Genomic DNA, 16055 nt, shown 5'->3' with positions numbered 1-16055 from the left:
AAAAATGTTTCTCTTATTCTCCTACGTTATTGTGAAGACTTTTTTTCTTAAACAAGAAACGTGTGTAATATTTGTAAAAACACAAAGCTTTTGGGCCGGGTGCAGTGGCTTATGCGTATAATTCCAGCACTTTAGGAGCCTGAGGCTGGTGGATCATGAGGTCAGGAGATTGAGACCATCCTGACTAAAAAGGTGAAACCACATCTCTACTAAAAATACAAAAAATTAGCCAGGCGTGGTGGTGGGTGCCTGTAGTCCCAGCTACTTGGGAAGCTGAGGCAGGAGAATGGCGTGAACCCAGGAGGTGGAGCTTGCAGTGAGCTCAGATCGTGCCACTGCACTCGAGCCTGGGCTACAGAGCGAGACTCCTTCTCAAAATAAATAAATAAATAAATAAATAAAACTTCTATTTCTTTCACTTTCTAATATAATTTTAATATCTCCTCCTGGGATTTCACTAAGACACATTTTGGACCTCATTCTGATCTTCCTCTCCCCTCCAAGCCCACCAACTTCTGCCCTATCATCTATCCTCATGTCTCTCTGTGTGACATGCTGACTTACTTTTTGGAGAGAATCGTCTAAACAATTAATTCTTTCTTCTCGTGTCTAATCCATCCACTAGTTTCTTATTTCAACAATTACATTTTTATTTCCTTATTTCATTTTATTCTGAGACTGAGTCTCATTCTGTCACACAGGCTGAATTGCAGTGGTACGAACCTGCAGACTCGGCCTCCTGGGCTCAAGTGATCCTCCCACCTCAGCCTCTTGAGTAGCTGGGACTATAGGCAGGTGCCCCATACCCAGTTAATACCATACCCACACAGCAGAGACATAAAAGATTTCCATCCTCAAAGAAGGTTCCATTGAACAGCACTGCTCTAATTCAATAAAAAATACCACTGAGCACAACATAGTAATAGAAAAGATTGAAGAGGCAGTGCTGATACTTAAAAACCTGGTATTTTCAGCCAGGCATGGTGGCTCATGCCTGTAATCCTGGCACTTTGGGAGGCTGAGGTGGGAAGATCGCTTAAGCCCAGGAGTTCTAGACCAGCCTGGGCAACATGGTGAAACCCTGTCTCTACAAAAAATACAAAAAATTAGCTGGGCATGGTGGCATGTGCCTGTAGTCCCAGCTACTTGGGAGGCTGAGGTGGGAGATCACCCGAGCCTGGGAGGTCAAGGCTGCAATGAGGTGAGATGGCACCACCACACTCCAGCCTGGGTGACAGAGTGAGACCCTGTCTCAAAAACAAAAAACAAAAAACAAAACAAAAACACCTGATATTTATTTTTAAGTACACTATTTTCAAACATTCAGAAGTTATTTCATCCTACCTTCATGGTTTCCATTCTATGCCTGGTTTAGAATTGGGATCTGATAAAATAAACGTGTTCAACAGAACCACTTCTCATGGCTGTATAACAGATGATCAATATGTATTTGCTGAGGAAATCATACAATTTTCTTAAATTTTTTTAACAAAAATTGTGGTTTCAAGGGACCAAACTTGAATACTACACCTTCATGTTCTAAGAATCAGGGGACTTATATAAAACCTCAGTTGCCTGATAAGGACTACATCAAAGTGAAAAGCCATGGGAAAGAACTAGAAAGTATACTTTTGACCCTAGTTCTGTAGTTTCCTTATGCCACAGGTAATACACATCGCAATTCCTGCCAAATTCTTTCCCTCACCTCTGTTTATGGTCTCGATTCCATAAATAGGAGAAGGGCATGAATTTGCTTTAGTTAGATAGACAGATAGATGGATAGATAGATAGATGGATGGATGGATGGATGGATAGATAGATAGACAGAGATAAAGATAGAGACAAAGATGGAGACAGAGATGGACATAGAGACAGATTTGCAGAAGATAAGTTCTAGGTGAACTAGTGTCAACATTAAAGTGGTATGCCTACATCTAACTATTCTGGAGAGAAAAACATACCTCAAAGAAATTGACTTAAATATATACAGAGAAAAAGTTTAAGCTGAAAGCTACTGCCTTTTTATATGAGACACTTTAGGAAATTACTTGGGGGGCAAGAGAGAAAATGGGTGGACATAGCTCAGAGGTTACACAGTAGCAGATATGTAGGATGAACAAGCCTAGAAATATAATGTACAACGCGAGAAATATAGGTAATAAAATTGTACTGTATTGGGATTCACGCTAAATGAGATTTTAAGCTCCTCTTGCCACCAAACAAAAAGAAAACGGGTAACTATCTGAGTTGAAGGATACGTTAATTTGCTTCACTGTAGTAATTTTTTTAACCATCTATATGCATCCCACAAAATCATGTTGTATACCTTAAATACACAGAATACAATTTATTTAACATAAAAAACTACTCCAATATTTTCTGCATTTTTAATATGCTCACCCAAAGAAAGCATTAATTTGCATCTTTGATGTTAAACAGATAGCCTAATCAAGTCACTATCAAGATCAAGACTAAAAGTTACAGCTTTTTTCTTTTGATGCCTTTCAGATATATCTATTTATATATAAAAATATATATACACACACACATACATACACACACACATATATATGTAGTTATGTGTGTGTGTATATATAGTTACAGTTTTGGCCAGGTGCAATGGCTGACACCTGTAATCTCAGCCCTTTGGGAGACCAAGGCTGAAGGCTTGCTTGAGGCCAGGAGTTTGAGACCAGCCTGGGCAACGAAGCAAGACCCTATCTCTACAATTTTTTTTTTTAACAAAATTAGCCAGGGATGATGGCATGCACTTGTAGTCCCAGATACTTGGGAGGCTGAGGCGGAGGATCCCTTGAGCCCAGGAGTTCAAAGCTGCAATGGGCTGTTACTGTGCCACTGGATCCCAGTCTGAGCAACAGAGCAAGACTTTGTCTCAAAAACAAAATTTATAATTAAAGATAAATAGTTATAGTTTTATGAACCTTGACTGCAACTGAGGGAAAATCCCGTAATTGGCAAAATGAATTCTGCCTGCTTGCAAAACTTCTGACTAATACGGAATGAATAATAGGAAGCCCATATTAGAGGATCCACATCAGTTAAAAAGTTTCCAAATAAGAGTGACTCTGAGTTCTGCAGAGTGAAAAGATTGGGTTCAAACCAAACACTTGCAAGATCTTGAGTAAGATACTTAATCCCTCTGTGACTCACTGTTCTCAAATGTAAGTGAAGATAATTTGTAACTCAAAAAAAATGAAAAAGTTTTCTCTAAGATTGCAAATCCTAAGGATAATTTCATTTTAATATCAGTTATTTAGTCTGGATACACCATAATGCAGACTAATTTTCCCTCTGCTTAAAGACCACACAAAAACATTACCAATAAAATTTACTTGTGTATCAACTTTTACTCCTGAGACTTCATCGTTTGTTTGGTTAAAAAAAAAAAAAAAAAAAAAGCGCACTAGACCGGGCACAGTGGCCCATGTCTGTGATCTCACTTGCGGAGGCCAAGGCAGGTGGATGAGTTTGAGAACAACCTGGGCAACATGGAAAAACCCCGTCTCTACAAAAAAAATATATAAAAATTAGTCAGGTGTGGTGGCACATAACTGTGGTCCCAGCTACTCCAGAGAGTGAGGCGGGAGGATTGCTTGAGCCCACGCAGAGGTTGCAGTGAACCAAGATGGCACCACTGCACTCCAGCCTGGGTGACAGAGCAAGACCCTGTCTCAAAAAAAAAAAAAATCACTATAAAATTGAAATTCACAACAAAATGTGCATACTTAACCTTCTTTTTATTTATTTATTTATTTATTTTTAATATTTTGAGACAACATCTTGCTATGTTGCCTAGGCTGGTCTTGAACTCCTGGGTTCAAACCATCCTCCAGTCTTGACTTCCCAAAGTACTGGGACTACAGGTGTGAGCCACCAGCCCCGCCAGCCCTGTTACACTATTCTTGGTCCCTCAAGTGACTGTATGAATTTTAGGATCAGCCTCTCGAGTTCCACAAAAAAATTCTATTGGGATTTGTGTAGGAATTTCTTGAATTTATAGATTAATTTGTTGAGAAGTAGTATGTTTATAGCATTGAGTCCTACGATTCATAATATATATGGCATATATTTCAGTTTAGTCAGTTCTTCCTTTAAGTCCCTGGGTAATTTTTATATTTGTCTTAGTCCCTTCATAGTGCCATAACAAAACACCTGAGACTGGGTAATTTACACAGAGCAGAAGTTTATTTTCTCAGTTCTGGAGGTTGGGAAGAACAAGATCAAGACTCCAGCAGACACAGTGTCTAGTGAGGGCCTGGTCTCTGCTTCCAAGATGGTACGTTGAATGCTGCTTCCTCTGGAGCAGGCAAATGCTATGTTCTCATGAGGCAGAAGGGACAGATTTACCACCACCCACAAGCCCTTTTATAAGGAAGGCACTAATCTCATGCATGAGGGCTCACCCTTATGTCTTAATCACTTCTTAAAGGCCCCACTTCTTAGTACTATCATCTTGGGAATTAAGTTTTAATACATGAATTTTGGGAGACACATTCAGGCTATGGCAATACTCTTCATGAAAGGCCTGTGTATACTTTGCTAGATATATTCTCAGGGTTTTGTTGTTATTGTGAATAGAATCTCTTTTTTTTTTTTGCCACGGAGTCTGGCTCCTTTGCCCAGGCTGGAGTGCAGTGGCGCGATCTCGGCTCACTGCAAGCTCTGCCCCTCCAGGTTTAAGCAGCCTGTTGCCCAGGCTGGAATGCAGTAGCATAGTCATAGTTCAATACAGCCTCAAACTCCTGGGCCCAAATGATTCTCTAAGCTAATATTTTTAATTTTTTAGAGATGGAGTTTCATTCAAGGATCACTAAAGGCCAGTGATCCTCCCGCCTCAGCTTCTGAAATTGCTGGGATTACAGGTGTGATTGAGCCATGGAGCCTGGCCAGACATGGGCTATTGATTCTCGCTGTTACTCTTTTCCCTTTCCTTCTAATCCTTGTATTGGGAAGCAAACAGTATGGAAATTTTATTTCTTCATTTTATTGATACGTAGATCTCTGCTTAGAAGACAATTTTAGTTTTAAATTATAAATGTTTCGTTCATTATTCATAGAAAACTAGATTTGCCATGGGATATTTATAAGTGTTGCACGAATGAAGGGTTTTCTAGTCAAATAATTTGAAACACATTACGTTAAACAAACTTGGACAGTTTTGTTTCCGGTCATTTTTAGAGTTCTAAATTATGATTCTACTCAAGAGGATATTGTATGCGGTATTTTCAAACCAACTCATCCTGCGTCAGGTTGTGGTTACGCTTTGGGAGAGGAAGCTATAATCTTATACTGAGACTGTAATGAATGTATTAAGGTAATTTTCGTAGCTTTCTCTTTTTGGAGTTACCTGAGAAATTATGACACCCTTTTCCAAACAGGCCAACCTGCTTTGCAAACACGATTTCCATAATTTTAACAATGGTGAGGCCAGGCACGGTGGCTCATACCTGTAATTCCTTCCAGCACTTTGGGAAGCCTAGGCAGGAGGATCACTTAAGCCAGGAGTTCAATACCAGCCTGGGCAACATGGCAAAAACTCATCTCTACAAAAAATACACATATTAGCCAGGCGTGGTGGCACACACCTATAGTCTCAGCTACTCAGAGGTTGAGGTGGGAAAATTGCTTCAGCTCAGGAGCTCGAGGCTGCAGTGAACGGTGATCACGCCACTGCACTCCAGCCTGGGTGACAGAGCAAGACCCTGTCTCAAAAACAAACAAAACAAAACACAAACCAAGGGTGAGAGAGATGTTAGATGTTTTTGTCCTTGTTACAGATGTAAATGCTCAGTTGGAAAGAGGGAAGTATTTAGAGTGAAAAAGTTTCGGTGGAACACACACAAAAATAGGAAGATCAGGTATAACTGTTCCAAAAAAAAGAGTATGGCAGTATAGAAGAAAAGGTCTCCATGAAAATGCAGAAGAACAATTTCACAGCTGGTGCTGGCATTTCAGAGACCTTGAGCTGGGAATCAAAAGATGGGAATTTCAGTCTCGGATGTGCCACTCCTTAGAGGTTTAATATCTACTAAACCCGGCGGGCTCCACTTGGTGGTGTTTGCTATTTAAAAAAACAAAAACATGTGGCAATGATCTTCCACGTGATTCTGACTTGAGCCCCACGCGAGTCTGCAGACTTACCCTTCCACTGCTTTGCCCTTCAAGTTTGTGCCCATTAGCAAAGAGAAATTTTCTCTTTGGGATCACTGCTGTGTTGATCTCAGGAATATTTGGCGTTGAATTTAACATATTTTTCATATGTGTGTGCAATAGGGAGGCTGAGAAAGTTGTCTTTTTTTTAAGGTGTTCATTTTTGGGGTACAGGTAGCAGCCTGCTCTACAATCCACACAGAAGCTGGAAATAGCCTCTAGAGAATTTCCACGTTTAGAGAAGATAAATTTATACATTTGTATCTAATCAACATTTTTTAGCTAACATAGTAGTCTAATTATACTATGTATAATTATACTATGTATAATTATGGGTACTGAAATGACACCTGGCATATGCTGTATGCTGTGTTATATATACATATATATTTACACATATACATATATATTACACATATACATATATATTTACACATATATATTTACACATATACATATATATTTACACATATATATTTACACATATACATATATTTACATATTTTACATTTACATTTTACATTTATTTTACATTTTACATTTATTTTACATTTTACATTTACATTTGACATTCTACATTTATTTTACATTTACATATTTTACATTTACAAATATTTACATATTTTACATTTATATATACATATATTTACATACATATATTTACGTACATATTTTTACATACATATTTACATGTGTATATATTTACATACATTCACATACATATTTACATATATATTTACATACATATTTACATAATATTTACATACACATATTACATACATATATGTACACATATACATATATTTACACATATACATATACTATGTATAATTATGGGTACTGAAATGACACCTGGCATATGCTGTATTTAAAAATGTGAGGTTCAGTGAGAACACATGGACACAGGAAGGGAAACAACACATACTGGGACCTGTCAGGGCGGGTGGGGGAGGAGCATCAGGAAAAATAGCTAATGCGTGCTGGGCTTAACACTGAGGTGATGAGTTGATAGGTGGACCAAACCACCATGGCACACGTTTCCCTACGTAACACTCCTGCACATGTACCCTAGAACTTAAAACAAAATTTTAAAAATAATAAAAAATAAAAATGTGAAATTCAGCACATAAACTGTTGGTTTTATTATTCATATTTTCCTAATTCAGAAATTATTTTCTGAACTATGGTTTATTAGATAATTTTGACGTAACAATTTTTTAAGAGGAAATTTAAGTTTTACTTTTTAATTGGGGCTCTTGGTTCTTTTTAAGAAAGACAGAGATAAATCATTTATACATTTAATTAGAAGAGACTGGGCTTGAATTTTTAAAAAGTACTAGAAATCGTAGCCACTATATATGTTATCTTTGAAATGTTTTAGACACTAATTACCTAAACAAGGAGCAAATAAGTTAAACCTCTTGGATTTTAATAAGAACTAAAATGTACAGTTGTATTTTCTGGTTTTTTAAATTGTTACAGTCTAAATTTATTCTTCCTAATGAAGAAATGTATGTGCCGTCAATATCAGGTTCTTTGTGGGTACTCACAGTTCCCTTTGCCTTTTACGCAGTGAATGTGGGCAACATGCGTGGAACAGAAATGATGTCGTTTTCTTTCTTTTGAATATCACTATGAATCTAATAATTCAAAGATTCCTAACTTTCTGAATGCCATTATTAATTGGATTCACAATGACTTACCAGGTACAGAGTTGTCCCGTGTGTCTTGGGGTGAACTACTGAGAGTGGTATGAGGGAAGCGATTCTCAGCTAGCGCTGAGTGGGGCCACTTCCAAAGAGGTGATGGGGTAAGAAGCACACACAATGTGGCATTTTCACTGCAAAGGGAGGTTTGTGCTGCCTCTCCTCCTGTGGCAGGTCTGCTCGCAGGGGAGGCTCCAAAGTTTGGCTTTGCTGGGTTTGGCATGTGAGAACTGATGAAATATCTGTATGTAGTATCTTTCAAGGATTTATATCGGTTGGATTTCTGTGTAAATTTGCATATCCCTTTGACTGCTTTACCCCATAGAAGCTTTGTATGCTTAATAAAATCTGTAACTTTTCTGTCACTTTCTCATTTAGCATCTGCCTTTCTGGCTTTTTACTTTATCTTTTTATTATTGTTTTTAGTTTAATGAGATTATGGTTAGAGAGAAAGATGGGTGCATGATTCCGCTTCTTTGGAATTTGTTGAGATTTTCCTTATGGCTCAGTACATATGTACTTGGGGGGGTGAATGCTGTCACTTTGGAGAGATATGTTTTTTCTGTACATTAGGTCAAGCTTGTTAATTTTCTAGAGAGATGTAAATCTTCTATGTCTATGCTGATTGTTTTTTGTCTCTTTTATCAGATACTGAGATATGTATTTAAATTGCCCTCTGAGGGTTGCAATTTTGTCATATTTTGCTTTCATGTATTTTGAGTGCTAGTTATTAGATACATTAACATTTTAGATTACCTTCTCCCTTGGTTTATTAGAATTTTTATCATTATATTGTGGCCTTAAAAAATCTCCCATATTGCTTTTTGCCCAAAGCCTATTTTATCTGATAATAATATAGCTTCCAACCCTTCTTTGGGTTAGGTACATATGACAGGTGTATCTTTTTTCAATCTCTCTCAGTCTTTCTGTGACTTTATGTTTTAGATGTCTTTTCATACTGTTTATTTTCTGTTTTTGTGTTTTTTTGTGTGTGTTTTTTTTTTTGATACGGAGTCTTGCTCTGTTGCCCAGGCTGGAGTGTAATGGTGTGATCTCGGCACTGCAACCTCTGCCTCCTGGATTCAAGCGATTCTCCTGCCTCAGCCTCCTGAGTAACTGGGATTACAGATGTTCACCACCACGCCGGCTAATTTTTGTATTAGCAGAGATGGGGTTTCACCATGTTGGTCAGGCTGCTCTCGAACTCCTGACCTTGTGATCCCTCCGCCTGCCTCATCCTCCCAAAGTGCTGGGATTACAGGCATGAGCCACCACGCGTGCCCTAATTCTGTTTTATAGTCATTTTCTCTTAATTATTCAGTCTATTTACATTTATTGTGATTGTTGGCATAGTTTCTTTTATAACTTTCATCGTATTTTGTGCTATTTGTTCCATCTGTTTTTATTTCTTCATGTCTTTTTTGTTTCGTTTTTGCTAATTCCTTTTATATTCATGGTTATTCTGCTCTTGAAATGTATGCTATGTGAATATATTTGTGAGTTGACAATACTTTATTAGCAATTAAATATACTATTTCTCTTTTTTTTAGAACTTGCTCAAATGTTACATAACCTCAATATCCTTAGTATCTAAATTAAACTGACTTTCTGAACAATCATCATTTTAAGGCAGTTACCACGATCTACTAAAAAATAAAAAAAAATTAGCCGGGTGTGGTGGTGGGCGCCTGTAATCCCAGCTACTCAGGAGGCTGAGGCAGGAGAATCCCTTGACCCTGGGAGGCAGAGGCTGCAGTGAGCCGAGATAGCGCCACTGCACTCCAGCCTGGGCGACAGAGAGACTCCGTCTCAAAAAAAAAAAACAATAATAATAATAAAGGAATTTAAAAAAAGACTGGGTTTAACCATGTTGCCCAGGCCGGTCTGGAACTCCTAGGCTCAAGCAATCCCCCACGCTTGGCCAGTCCAAAGTCCTGGAATCAAAAGCGTGAACCACCACGCCAGGCCGATCACGCCTGTCATCCCAGCACTTGGGGAGGCGGAGGTGGGTGGATCACCGGAGGTCAGGAATTTGAGACCAGCCTGGCCAACATGATGAAAACCCGTCTCTACTAAAAATACAAAAAAAAAAAATTAGCCGGGTGTGGCGGCAGGCGCCTGTAATCCCAGCTACTCAGGAGGCTGAGGCAGGAGAACCACCAAAACCCGGGATGCAGAATTTGCCGCGAGCGGAGACCCAGCCACTGCACTCCAGCCTGGGCAACAAGAGGGAAACTCCGCCTCAAAAAAAAAAAATAATAATAATAAGAGACAGATTTTCACCATGTTGCCCAGGCAGGTCTGGAACTCTTAGGCTCAAGCAATTCCCCACGCTCGGTTGTCCAAAGTCCTGGGATCAAAAGCGTGAGCCACCACGCCAGGCCGATCTATTTCTTTCTGATTAATAAATTGGGCCGGGAGCGGTGGCTCACGCCTGCAGTCCCAGCACCCCGGGAGGCCGTGGCGGGCGGATCACCTGAGATCGGGAGTTTGAGACCAGCCTGACCAACATGGAGAGACCTGTCTCTACCAGAAAAAAAAAAAAAAAAAAAAAGAGCTGGGCAGGGTGGCTCCCGCCTGCAATCCCAGTCACTCGGAGGCTGAGGCAGGAGAACCACCCAAACCCAGAGGCAGAGGCCGCGGGGAGCCGACACCGCACCACTGCACTCCAGCCCTGCAACAAGAGGGAAACTACGCCTCAAAAAAAAAAAAGAGAGAGAGAGAGAGACCGGTTTTCACCATGTTGCCCAGGCTGGTCTAGAACTCCTAGGATCAAGGGATCCGCCACGCTCGGCCCGTCCAAACTCCTGGGATCAAAAGCGTGAGCCACCACGCCAGGCCGATCCTTCCTGTCATCCCAGCACTTTGGGAGGCCGAGGTGGGTTTACCTGAGGTCCGGAGTTCGAGACCAGCCTGGCCAACATGATGAAAACCCATCTCTACTAAAAATACAAAAAAAAAAAAAAAAAAAAAATTAGATGGGTGTGCTAGCGGGTGCCTGTAATCTCAGCTACTCAGGCGGCTGAGGCAGGAGAATCGCTTGAACCTGGGAGGCAGAGGTTGCAGTGAGCCGAGACAGCGCACCACTGCACTCCAGCCTGGGTGACAAAGTGAGACTCCGTCTCAAAAGTATATATATATAAAAATAAAAAATGAAATAAAAATAAATTGGGTGTGTGCGCTGGCTCACGCCTGCAATTCCAGCATCCCCGGAGGCCGAGGTGGGCGGATAACCTGAGGTCTGGAGTTTGAGATCAGCTTGCCCAGCATGGAGAAACCCCGTCTCTACCAAAAACAAATAAAAAAAAATTAGCAGAGCAATGTTGGTCAGGCCTGCAATCCCAGCCACTCCGGAGACTGAGGCAGGAGAACTACTAAAACCCTGGAGGCAGAAGTCGCTGCGAGCGGAGACCCAGCCACTGCACTCCACCCTGGGCAACAAGAGCGAAACTCCGCCTCAAAAAAAAAAGAGAGAGAGAGAGAGAGACCGGGTTTCACCATGTTGCCCAGGCAGGTCTGGAACTCCTAGGCTCAAGGGATACCCCGCGCTGGGCCATCCGAAGTACTGGGATCACAAGCGTGAGCCACCACACCAGGACGATCTATTCCTTTCTGATTAATAAGTTGGGCCGGGAGCGGTGGCTCAAGCCTGCAATCCTAGCACCTCGGGAGGCCTAGGCAGGTGGATCACCTGAGGTCGGGAGTTTGAGACCAGCCTGACCAACAGGGAGAAACCCCATCTGTACCAAAATAAAAATAAAAAAAAAATACAAAATTAGCCGGGCTTGGTGGCTTATGCCTGCAATCCCAGCCACTCTGGAGGCTGATGCAGGACAACGACCGAAACCCGGGAGGCGGAAGTCGCGGCAAGCAGAGACCCAGCCACTGCATTCCAGCCTGGGCAACAAGAGCGAAACTCCGTCTCAAAACAAGACAAAACAAAAAGACCAGGTTTCACCATGTTGCCCAGGCCTGTCTGGAACTCCAAGGCACAAGCGATCCACCCTACTTGGCCGTCCAAAGTCCTGGGATCACAAGAGTGAGCCACCACGCCAGGCAGATCAAAGCGTTGAGCTGAATAAAGAGTTATCTTTTAGCATTTTGTGGAGCCCGGGTAGATCTGTGCAGGGGGAAGCATATTACAGAAGCGAGAAACAGAGAGTTATTTAATTGAAGCACGCATTATGTTTTTTTTTTTTTTTACGTTTTTAGGAAAAATATGTTTTGTGACTTGCATTTGTTTGTTTAGTGACCTTGCAGTTGCACAGTTAGGGAATTAGGGTTTTGATAATGCCTGGGAAGGGAGCGATAAGGCTCACTAGCCATAGGAAAACAGGTAGTTTTTTTAAAGGACTAAGGCTCTTTCTCATTCTCAGGGGGAATTGGGTTTTTTTTACATACAGCTGAGTTTTTGCTTACACATTTTTTCATTTCTTTTAATTCCTGTTCCAATGCCAGCATCCTTGCGGTGCGGTTTCCCAGCGGCTCTCTTGCCTTGCAGCTTGTGTCGGGAGTTGCAGACAGCCATGGCCCATGGGCCTGGCGCTGACGGACCCTGGAGCGGTGTCTGAGGGAGGTGGGCAAAGCCACTGGCTGGCCCGAGTGCATCCTCACGTAAGTGCACAGATCCCGGGCTCGGGTGCGACTGCGGTCGCACGTGGACACGGGTTGCAGACCCCTGGCAAATTGTGGAGCTGGGGGAAGGTAAGGGGAAATGTAAATCACTTTTCCCCACATTTCAGAGGACCTAGGCTATCAAAATTTTAAAAATTGTTAAAACTTTTACAGTATGGATCTCTCAGTTGAATGTTATTGAAATCAACCTAACCTCAGTTATTCACGCCTATAAGCTCCCCTTGAGGCTTATTACGGCCCCCATCCCCCTACACACAACTGTGTTGGTTTCTCCTTCCGCCTGTGCTCCTAAAGCACTCAGTGTTTACCTGCCATCATACTTTATTGAAAGCACAAACTTGTCACTTGTCTGTCTACCCCACTAAGCTTCTTGAGAATTAGAACTTTCATGTCTCTTCCCAACACAAACGTTTTATGTGTATTTTGTTGAAGAACTTCAAATATGACCTATAAAATTATGACTCATTTATGTTTCAAACTCCAACCTCTCCCTTGAGTTCCTTGCTCACAAGCAACTCCAGACTGAGCTTAGTTGGAATTCAGTAGCGCACAACTGGGATATCCGCACCGTACGGCTTTTAACAATTTTTTAAATTTTGGTCCTCTCAGCATCACAAATTCACTGTGTCCAAAATACAGTAGAATGTTGTTTCTACCCACCTACACTCTGCCATCCGCTGAAGTCCTTTCCCCTTGCTCCACCACTCAAGCCTTGCCTATCGCAGTAAATGGCAGTTCTGTCTCTCCAGTTGCTCGCACATAAAACTAGGCTGCTATTTTGATGTCTTCACTTTTCTCTATTCTGTATCTAATTCCTTAGCAATCCTGTCAGTTCTACCTCCAAACTGTACTCAGCATATTCACTGCTCTAACTCCAGCTTAAATCACCATCATCCTTTGCCTGGAATGCTGCATCAACCTTCTAATCACTCTACTTTCCTCCTCCTCCTTCCTCCCTTTCTTCTTCCTTCGTATAAATCATCATTTCATCCTTCTGCTTAAAATCTTCTCACATTTTCTTATTACACTTAAAACGGCAAACTCTTACCCTTGAGCCCTGCAGAATTTGGCTCCCATCAGTCTCTCCAACTTCACCTTCTGCCTCCTTCACGCTATAGCCATGCTCACTTTTTTATTCCTCAGGCTTACCAAGCTCAACTGCATCTTAGAGAATTTGTTCTTGCTGTTTCTTCCGCCTGGAATACATGTTTCCCAATCTTTATAAGACTATACTTGTCTGTAAGTTTCATCTCAGATGTCACATCTAGGAGAGGTTTTCCTTGACCACTGTAGCCAAAGCAAATGTTGATCATTGAGTGAATAAGGGAATGAATGAATGGAGTGGTATATAATGTAGCAGAGTAGAAAATTTAAGGCTAATTCTCTATATATCTCCAAGCAAATAGATTTGTAATGCTTTTCCTGCCAACAATCTATACAGCTGATTCACAAATACTTGGTTGACAGGTTTTATATATCATTGTGGCTCATCAGCTTATATGTTGTTGGGGCCAGAATCTATACTTACACTTTATTCAAATTTGATTTTACAGAAGAGTTGAGGTTTTTATTTTTCTTTTAATTAAGAGGGCTGTGAAATTATTATCTATAATTCTAAATCTCATTTAATTCCTCCCAATAGGTTTCAAGATGGATTGGAACCAAAGTTCACTTCTTTAACAAAAGTGCTTTATGACTTTAATAAAACAGTAGAGAATGGTAGAATCCATGGCAGCCCTTTACAAAAACTTGTGATAGAAAGTTTTGATGATGAGCAGACTTTGCAACAACTGGAATTGCAAAATGAAGCAATTTTACAGTGCTTCCAGAATGCGGTTAGTGAAAGAAAGATGAAGATATCAGTCTTCTCCCAGAGAGTGAAGAACAGGAGCATGAAGAGGCTGGTTCAGAAACAGAGGCTGATGGCCAGGAGGACCTAGAAGATTTAGAGGAGGAGGAGGACGTGTCAGATATGGGTGGTGACAATCCTGAAATGGGTGAGAGAGCTAAAAACTCAAGCAAATTCAGGGCCAGGTGCGGTGGCTCACGCCTGTAATCCCAGCACTTTGGGAGGCCGAGGCAGGCGGATCACGAGGTCAGGAGATCGAGACCATCCTGGCTAACAAGGTGAAACCCCATCTCTACTAAACATACAAAAAATTAGCCAGGCGTGGTGGCAGGTGCCTGTAGTCCCAGCTACTCGGGAGGCTGAGGCAGGAGAATGCCATGAACCCGGGAGGTGGAGCTTGCAGTGAGCCTAGATCACGCCACTGCAGTCCAGCTGGGTGGCAGAGTGAGAGACTGCATCTCAAAAACAAAAACAACAATTACTTAACTTTAGGATGCTCCAATAATCAAAATTGATAGTGGCTTGTGAACAGATAGATTACTTGAATAGAATAGAGCCCAGAAATAAACCCAAATGCTTCTGGGGGAGTTTGGTACATTATAAACATGACATTTTAAATCAATGAGGAAAAGAAATCATTTGCAGCTCACCCCACCATGCACAGCAGGAATAGGAAGTCATTGGCAGAATAAAAAGATGGTAAGAACAGAACAGAATTGTAGAACAGTACATTTCTTGCTTCCCCACTTTTCAAAGTATTTTTTGCTTTTTCACAAATGTAAGTGTAATTTTATTTTCTAAATGTATACTAATTCTTTTCTTCTCTTTCTTAGATGAATGACAAAAATTACATCTTTAGAAAAAGAGTTGTTAGAAAAAAGCCTTGGCTGCATGTGGGGGAAGTGACAGCACAGAAGAGACCAGAGAAGAGCCTCCTGGAGGAGAGCCTGCACTTTGACCATGCTGTCCGGATGGGTGCAGTGCTCTTTTCTGCAAAGTGTTCACTTCTCTGCTTTTTCTGTGGTCCCATTTCATAGAAAGATTTGGGGTGATGTTTCTTTCCCTCAACTTTTATTTTGAAAACTTGCAAACACAGAAAAGTTGATAAAATCATACAGTGAACATCTGTATGCTATTCAACTGGATTCACTAGTTAATGTTTTGTCACACTTGTTTTCTGTCTTCTGCGTATGGAAGATTGTATATGTGCCCTTTTTCCCTCTGAATCATTTCAAAGTAAGTTGGCAGTATCAGAGCATTTCACTGTTAAGTACTTTCGCAGATATCTTCTAGGAACCAGGACTTCTCCTATATAATCACAATACCATTAATCCACCCCCAAAATTTAACATCAATACACTAATGATACCTACTGTATAGATTATAATCAGCTTCCTTGCAGCAATCTGTTTAGAAGGCTTGCATCCTGTCACTGTCCACTGATTAAATTTTGAACTCTAACTTGAAACCCTGGTCATCTCATTGCCTTCTTTCTTATACCCATTAAGTCAAAAGGAGCTCTCATTTTATTTCAACAGAAAAGAGAATGGAAAAGTGGGGAAGAGTCCCTAGTACCTTGGATAAAGTATGAGCACTTACTACCATATGTATTCTAGTTCTGTAGTTTTCAAACTTCAGGGAGCATCTCAAGGCTTATTAAAGCACAGATAGCTGTCCTTCCCCACTTTCTGATT

At 40.9% G+C, this 16055-nt stretch overlaps 1 pseudogene; it reads left to right on the top strand.

Annotated features, from left to right (window-relative positions):
- On the top strand, positions 14142 to 14622 carry MPHOSPH10P4 (MPHOSPH10 pseudogene 4; annotated as a pseudogene).

Source organism: Homo sapiens, chromosome 15 (genome assembly GCF_000001405.40).
Source record: "Homo sapiens chromosome 15, GRCh38.p14 Primary Assembly".
Taxonomy (NCBI): Eukaryota; Metazoa; Chordata; class Mammalia; order Primates; family Hominidae; genus Homo; species Homo sapiens.
The sequence above is the reverse complement of the archived record's forward strand: the minus strand, read 5'-3'. Positions and strand labels throughout refer to the sequence as shown.